Source organism: Homo sapiens, chromosome 16 (assembly GCF_000001405.40).
Source record: "Homo sapiens chromosome 16, GRCh38.p14 Primary Assembly".
NCBI lineage: Eukaryota > Metazoa > Chordata > Mammalia > Primates > Hominidae > Homo > Homo sapiens.
Genome location: NC_000016.10, coordinates 30,248,847 through 30,258,013, shown reverse-complemented (window position 1 = coordinate 30,258,013; position 9,167 = coordinate 30,248,847).

Sequence of the window (9,167 nt, the reverse complement as noted above, 5' to 3'; positions counted from 1 at the left end):
AGTCAGGTAGCATGATGCCTCCAGCTTTGTTCATTGGGCTTAGGATTGTCTTGGCAATGTGGGCTCTTTTTTGGTTCCATATGAACATTAAAGTAGTCTTTTGCAACTCTCATCAGCCCAGTTTAATATTACCTATTTATTATAATGTAATGCTGCTCGGACAACTGAGAAAATACTGTTGCTTTACCCCCTCCAGCTCTGTAGCAGCCACGCAGAAATCATAGAACTGTAAACATATGCTAATTACACAACCTATGTAGGCAATCAATATTAAGAAAAATTTTTACTGCCCGGTATTTCTGTGGTTGAAAATGTAGAGTCTAATTTTGATCCGCAGTAACATCTAGGTTAATGTTGATTCAGAAGGAAAATGTTTGTTGTTGCCATGAGAAGAGGCATTGAAATGCTGAATCACCACCACAAATGTTACCACTATTAATATAAGGAGATACATAGGAAGATGGAATTAGACCATCTCGGACCACCAGGTTTACAATTCCACCTGCAGATACATGCAAGAAGTATTGTCACAATACTTATGTCACGTTATTCCGTTGAGGTCATCACCAACTAAGCTTATAATTAATGTGGTCAATTTGGTCAATGTCACCAGCGTAGCATACTAACAAAAACAAGGGTTGCAAAGTCAAATGCCTATAAGGCAGAACGTAAGACGGTAGGAAGCAAAGTCTATAGGGAGCTATATAATAGAGGCTGCAGATTCATGGCAGATTCTAAAGCACAGCAGTCCCCAACATTTTTGGCACCAGGGACCGGCTTTGTGGAAGACAATTTTTCCACAGGCGGCAAGGGATGGGGCGCAGGATGGTAATGGTCTTGGGATGAAACTGTTCCACCACAAATCATCAGGAATTAGATTCTCATAAGGAATATGCAACCTGGATCCCTCGTGTGTGCAATTCACAACAGGGTTCATGCTCCTGTAAGAATCTAATGATGCTGCTGATCTGACAGGAGGCAGAGCTCAGGCAGCAATGCAAGCAATGGGGAGCAGCCAGAAATACAGACGAAGCTTCAATTGTTACCCACCATTCACCTCCTGCTCTGTGGCCCAGTTCCTAACAGGCCACAGACCAGTACATGTCCATGGCCCAGGGGTCAGGGACCCTGCTGTGGCACATTGCTTAATAGAGGACTGTAGCAGCCATGTGCCCTGACCTTTCCTTTTTTTTTTTTTTTTTTTTTTTTTGAGATGCCAGAAACCCAGAATTTTTTTTTTTTTTTTTTTTTTTAAGACAAGGTCTGGCTCTGTTGCCCAGGTTGGAGTGTAGGAGGGCGATCTCAGCTCACTGTAACATCAACCTCCCAGGCTCAAGCAATCCTCTCACTTCAGCCTCCCACGTTGCTGGGATTACAGGCACACTCCACTACACCCAGCTAATTTTTTTGTATTATTTGTAGACATGGGGTTTCGCCATGTTGCCCAGGCTAGTCTGGAATTCCTGAGGTCAAGCTGTCTGCCCATCTCAGCCTCCCAAAGTGCTGGGATTGCAGGAGTGCACCACCACACCTGGCCTGAAACCCAGATTTTATTTATTTATTTATTCATTTTTTGAGATGGAGTCTTGCTCTATTGCCTAAGCTTGAGTGCAGTGGCGCGATCTTGGCTCACTGCAACCTCCACCTCCCTGGTTCAAGCGATTCTCCTGCCTCAGCCTCCCAAAGTGCTGGGATTACAGGCATGCAACACCACACCCAGCCTGAAACCCAGATTTTTAATATGAAATCAAAGTCTTCAGACCTTGTAGGTGTCATAAAAAGCACGCTGAGGACCACTAGTTTGCAACTGCCAATCTAAAATATCATAGACATTATATCACTTTAACCACGAAAAAAAAAGTATGTGAGGCAGAAAATGGAAGCAACCATGCCTAATTTATTGTTGAATACTTTTTCCGTATACCAAGAGCTTCCTTTGCACTAGCATCTGAAACTATATCCAGAATGACACTGGTTTTCATAAAAGTGTTGATCCTCACACCTCTTTATAGTCTTGCACCTAGCCCAGTGGAGTGAAACACTTTAAATAGCACTTGTTCCTTGAGTATATATGGAAAAAAGTGAAGTATTGATAAGTGCTCAGCTAATATGAGCAGCATCTCAGGAGTCTCCAATTCTTGAATTACCAGGGAGTATTTTTACCATTTTCCCCCAGTGAAAGGCCTATTTTGAGAGACTTATCCTCCAAAATGAATGTATTAAGTCATGTTCCTTTTTTTTTTTTTTTTTGAGACAGGGCCTTGCTCTGTTGCCCAGGCTGGAGTGCAGTAGCATGATAGTTACAGGAAAGGGGTCCCAATCTAGACCCCAAGAGAGGGTTCTTGGATCTTGTGCAAGAAAGAATTCAGGGTGATGCCACAGTGTGAAGTGAAAGCAAGTTTATTAAGAAAGTAAAGGAGGAGGGGCACCGTGGCTCACTCCTGTAATCGCAGCACTTTGGGAGGCCGAGACAGGTGGATCACGAGGTCAGGAGATCAAGACCATCCTGGTTAACACGGTGAAACCTCATCTCTACTAAAAATACAAAAAAATTAGCCAAGTGTGGTGGCCGGTGCCTGTAGTCCCACCTACTCTGGAGGCTGAGGCAGGAGAATGGGATGAACCCGGGAGGCGAAGCTTGCAGTAAGCCGAGATCGCGCCACTGCACTCCAGCCTGGGTGACAGAGGGAGACTCCATCTCAAAAAAAAAGAGAGAAAGTAAAGGAATAAAAGAATGGCTACCCCATAGACGGAGCAGCCGTGAGGGCTGCTGGTTGCCCATTTTTATGGTTATTTCTTGATGATATGCTAAACAAGGAGTGGATTTTTCATGCCTCCTCTTTTTAGACCATATAGGGTAACTTCTTGATGTTGCCGTGGCATTTGTAAACTGTCATGGTGCTGGTAGGAGTGTAGCAGGGAGGATGATGGGAGGTCAGTCTTGTCTCTATTTTGGTTTTGGTGGGTTTTGGCCAGCTCCTTCACTGCAACCTGTTTTATCAGCAAGGTCTTTATGACTGGTATTTTGTGCTGACCTTCTATGTCATCCTGTGACTTAGAATGCCTTAACCATCAGGGAATGCAGCCCAGTAGTTTCAGCCTCATTTTTCCTGGCTCCTATTTAAGATGGAGTTGCTCTGGTTCACACACCTCTGACATGATCATTGCCCACTGCGGCTTCCACCTCCCGGGTTCAAGAGATCCTCCTGCCTCACCCTCCCAAGGTGCTGGGACTACAGGTGTGTGCCACCACGCTCAGCTAATTTTTGTATTTTTTGTAGAGATGGTGTTTTTCCATGTTGCCCAGGCTGGTCTCAAACTCCTGGGCTCAAGCAATCCTTCTGTCTCAGCCTCCCAAAGTACTGGGATTACAGGCATGTCCCACCATGCCCAGACTAATATTTACTTTTAATCAGACTAAGATAGGGTTACTACTTGAGTTGCTATGGCTCCAGCTGAAAGAAAGCCCGTGCAGTCATATCACGCGTAAACATTTGCTTTATGCTAAAAATATGGTGGACCTGGCATTACAGCTATTACAAATCTCCTAAGATGTCTCGGGTAGTGTATTAGTTACTTTTCATACTGCTATGAAGAAATACTGGAAACTGGGTAATTTATAAAGAAAAAGAGGTTTAATGTACTCACAGTTCCACAAGGCTGGAGAGGCCTCAGAATCATGGTGGAAGGCAAGGAGCAAAAAGGTATGTCTTCCATGGCAGCAGGCAAGAGAGCACGTGCAGGGAAACTGCCCTTTATAAAACCATCAGATTTAGTGAGATGTATTCACTATCACGAGAACAGTATGGGAAAAACCTGCCCCCATGATTCGATTACCTCCTACCGGGTCCCTCCCACGACACATGGGGATTATGGGAACTACAATTCAAGATGAAATTTGGGTGGGGACGCAGCCAAACCATATCGGGTAGCAACAACCTAGGGTCAGTTTTGCAGGTGGTAAAGCCATTTACCAAGATAGTTGTAGGTAAAGAAGGGCAGATTTATTAGAGAAATTGTGAAAATATGTTGCAGTGGGCAGCTCAGCAGAGAAGGGGCTACCTGCAAAGAGGCAAGGGCTGGAGGAAAGTTTTATAGGGTCCTGCTGAAGGGTGCTACGTGTGGAATGAGGTCATTGTGCCCGCAGGTTGTTTGTGATTAGCTGTTTCTAACAATTGTTCATACAATAATTGTTCATTATTGTTCTCAACTTGGGGCTCTCCCCAACCTGGGGACCCTTCCTTATTGTTGCTTACTTATCAGGTCTCCACATAAAGGTGTGGAAACTTCATTCATTCATATCTTCAACACAAATTGTAGGTAGCCTGTTTTTTAAAACATTTATTCAACAAATATTTAGTCCAAGCCACTATTACTTATTACCTTCTCTACTATTGTATGGACTTTTAACTATCTCTGACACTATTCACTATTCTTCCACATTCTCTATTATTTATACCTATGGTAAAATTTGCCAGTTTGACCATACAACTAATACTCACAGGGAATATATAGAGTCTAGAAGAAAATATACAGGTCCTTAAAGGCTGCCCTGCCAACAAAACCATAACGCAGGAACAAACATCACAACTATGCCAAATAATCAATCCTACAATGTCCAAAATTTTACTTTAAAACTGGAATTTCCAGACTTCCTTTCTGCATTAACCAGTTTAACTAGACAGTAACGAAATATTCCTACTTTATGCTGTGATAGTTTGTTTATTTATTTATTTATTTATTTATTTATTTGAGACAGAGTTTCGCTCTTGTTGCCCAGGCTGGAGTGCAGTGGCACGATCTCAGCTCACCACAACCTCCGCCTCCCAGGTTCAAGCGATTCTCCTGCCTCAGCCTCCCGAGTAGCTGGGATTACAGGCATGTACCACCACGCCCGGGTAATTTTGTATTTTTAGTAGAGACGGGGGGTTTCTCCATGTTGGTCAGGCTGGTCTAGAACTCCAGACCTCAGGTGATACCCCTGCCTCAGCCTCCCAATGTGCTGGGATTACAGCTGTGAAGCCACCGCGCCCGGCTGCTGTGATAGTTGAGATGTAAACCAAAAATAAAATTCTAAGCCACCCAATCCGACTGAATGGACCCTTCCTGTTGAGCAAGGACATTCCAAAGTAAACTGAAAAGACCAGCTTAGGCCATGATGGGAAGGGGAGGTGTCAACATGCCTCATTCTACCTTCCTCCCTCTGGAATCCAGACACAACTGACCAGCATTAACATTAAAACAGAGATCTTAAGCTGGGCACAGTGGCTCATGCCTGTAATCCCAGCACTTTGGGAGGCCAAGGTGGGATCACCTGAGGTCAGAAGTTCAAGACCAGCCTGGCCAGTATGGTGAAGCCATGTCTCTACTAAAAATACAAAATTAGCCGGACATTGTGGTGCACGTCTGTCATCCCAGCAAGGCAGGCGAATCACTTGAACCCAGGAAGCAGAGGTTGCAGTGAGCCAGGATCATGCCATTGCACTCCAGCCTGGTCAACGGAGCGAGACTCCGCCTCATTAAAAAAAAAAAAAAAAAAATTAGCCGGGCGTGGTGGCGGGCACATGTAGTCCCAGCTACTAGGGAGGCTGAGGCAGGAGAATGGTGTGAACCAGGGAGGCGGAGCTTGCAGTGAGCCGAGATTGTGCCACTGCACTCCAGCCTGGACAGAAATGCATTTCATAATGCATTTTAATTGCATTAGCAGTGATTTAATTTTTTTAGATGTTAAAACTTATGGGTGAAAGTGGATTAAATGTAGCCAAATGCAACATCAAAATCTTCAGGCACAAAAACCCATTAACTTTTTCATACTCTCAGAAGGTGAACCTAATTTCAAATGAAAGCTGCCTCCAGAATATATTGTTAAGCGTATTCTAGATATAATTCATTTTGGCAAACATACTGTAGAAATTCACATAACATTTTACTGTACTAAAAGTAAATTGCCCATGTAACAAAAAATATCTTTTCAGAGCTTGAAATGAATTTTAAAGGATGACTGATGGTCCTTGGAAGAGAAATAGTAAACAAATAAGGTTTGTAGCAATGATGTATGAGTTAGAAATTGCAGTTCCAGATGATCTCTTTATTAAAGAGACGATCTACACTTAATTTGGTCAAGTGTTATGAACATAGTTCATGTTAAGTCTCCATTTAAATACAACCTGAAATACCAAAGTTAATTTTCTTTTCTTTCTTTCTTTTTTTTTTTTTTTTTTTAGAAGGAGTCTTGCTCTGTTGCCCTTCCTGGAGTGCAGTGACGTGATCTTGGCTCACTGCAACCTCCACCTCCTGGGCTTGAGCGATCCTACTGCCTCAGCCCCCCAAGTAGCTGGGAGGACAGGCGCAAGCCACGGCACTCAGCTAATTTTTGTATTTTTCGTAGAGATAGGGTTTCACCATGTTGCCCAATTTGGTCTCGAACTCCTGAGCTCAAGTGATCCGCCCGCCTTGGCCTCCCAAAGTGCTGGGATTACAGGCATGAGCCACCGTGCCTGGCCAGAAAATTGTAAACACACACAAACTCTCAAGTGGCCTAATTCCCTCTCACCAAACCAATCACAATACAGATAAAAGAGAATAACTTGTGTTCATTTTTGTACAAACAAAAAAGATATAAATTGTGAATGATGCATGATTTTTAATTACAAGTAAACTGGGCAAATGCTTCTGCATTATTTAAAGCTAAAAGGTGATCAGTGGAAACTTTCCTCTGTTAGTACTCTAATACTTTTTATATTTATCGGCTCACTACAACCTGTGCCTACCAGGTTCAAGCGATTCTCCTGTCTCAGCCACCTGAGTAGCCGAGACCACAGGCACGCACTACCATGTCCGGCTAATTTTGTATTTTTAATAGAGACAGGGTTTCACCGTGTTGGCCATGCTGGTCTTGAACTCCTGACCTCAACCGATCCGCCTGCCTTGGCCTCCCAAAGTTCTGGGATTACAAGCGTGAGCCACCGCGCCCAGCCTTATTATAATTGTTACTATTTAAATCTCTTTTGCTCTCTCCTTCAAGAGAGACCTCATCCCATTCAGTTGCTTCCATTTATTTATTCATCTTCTGCCTCCTGGGCTCGAGAGATCCTCCAGCGTGAGTCTCCCAAGTAGCTGGGACTACAGGCTCACACCACCAAGCTTGGCTAAATTTTGTAGGTTTTGGAGAGACAGGCTCTTGCCACGTTGCCTAGGCTGGTCTCAAACTCCTGGGCTCAGATGATCCACCTGCCTTCGCCTCCCAAAGCACTGGGACATGAGCCACCACGCCCAGCCGCAAGTACTTTTACACAAAATGCAAACACCATTCTTCCATCATAAAAGTGATACCACAGCTTCCGTGAAGTTTTGCCAGGTAGTACTCATAATTACCTTGGGTAAACTTTTTGATGTTAAACTGTATCTTCTTATTACGAGTTTTTCCATTGTATTAACTGCTTTTACAACAACACAAATAACAAGTTATTTTACAAACCATTTAGAAATTTCTGTACTATGGTCCCAGTAATGTAAAATATATTAATGCCTATTACATTCAGATAAATTATACACTTGGAAACCACATACTTATGACTTACAGAAACTTACATAAACAAATTATAGAAATTATATGCTCAATTTTTAGGTATATAGTCTTAAATTAAGCTTAAATATACATTCTCAAGATAAATTAACAGTTCAGGGCTTCACAACTTGAAATCTGTGGAAGATGACATTGGAGACAACAGAACTCTGGTGGAATTCTTAGATGGAATTTGCCGAAACTTTTTTTTTTTTTTTTTTTGAGATGGAGTGTCGCTCTGTCGCCCAGGCTGGAGTGCAGTGGCGCAATCTCAGCTCACTGCAAGCTCTGCCTCCCGGGTTCACGCCATTCTTCTGCCTCAGCCTCCCGAGTAGCTGGGACTACAGGCGCCCACCGCCACGCCCAGCTAATTTTTTATATTTTTAGTAGAGATGGGGTTTTACTATGTTAGCCAGGATGGTCTCGATCTCCTGACCTTGTGATCCACCCGCCTTGGCCTCCCAAAGTGAAACTTTTCTTTAAAATAGAGATGGGATCTTGCTGTATTGCCCAGGCTGGTCTCAGACTCCTTGCCTTAAGCAGTCCTCCCACCTCAGCCTCCTAAAGTGCTGGGATTACAAGCGTGAAGCATTACATCCAAGTGAAACTTCTTGAGATGGTTACATAATGTCTAAATCTGCTGGTGTAGAAGTTAATAAAGTGTAGAACTGAATAAATATTAAATATTAGATCAAGTTTCTCATGTTTATCTTAACGTATAACGATTTATCTTAAAGCACTGATTTTCACAAAATAACATCAGTGTGAAATTGGAAAAGAAGCCAAATATTTTATTTCATGTATCTGGGAAATGAGGTGCTTTAGTCAACTGAATCTGCCCAAAACTAAAAAGCATTAATTAAAAAGTACTTAACTCAGAAATTATAAAAATAGGAGACATCAATAAAATACATTCTACACAGAATACGCCAACCATACACTACTCTTTTTTGATAATAAAAAATGTATTTACTGAGCCAGTTGTGGTGGCTCACGCCTATAATCCCAGCACCTTGGAAGGCCAATGAGAGTGGATCAGTTGAGGCCAGGAGTTTGAGACCAGCCTGGCCAACATGGTGAAATGCCGTCTCTACTAAGAATACAAAAATGAGCCGGGCACGGTGGCACGCACCTGTAATCCCAGGTACTCCGAAGGATGAGGCAGGATAATTGTTTGAACTCAGGAGGTGGAGGTTGCAGTGAGCCAAAATCATGCCACTGCACTCCAGCCTGGGTGACAGAGTGAGTCTCTGTCTCAAAAAAAAAAAAAAAAAAAAAAAAAAGTCAGTTGCAGTGGCTCACGCCTGTAATCCCAGCACTTTGGGAGGCTGAGGCAGGCGGATTACAAGGTCAGGAGATTGAGACCACCCTGGCCAACATGGTGAAACCTCCTCTCTACTAAAAATGCAAAAATTAGGCTGGGCACGGTGGCTCACACCTGTAATCCCAGCACTTTGGGAGGCCGAGGCGCGGAGATCACGAGATCAGGAGATTGAGACCATCCTGGCTAACACAGTGAAACCCTGTCTCTACTAAAAATACAAAAAATTAGCTGGATGTGGTGGCAGCACTTGTAGTCCCAGCTACTTGGGTGGCTGAGGCA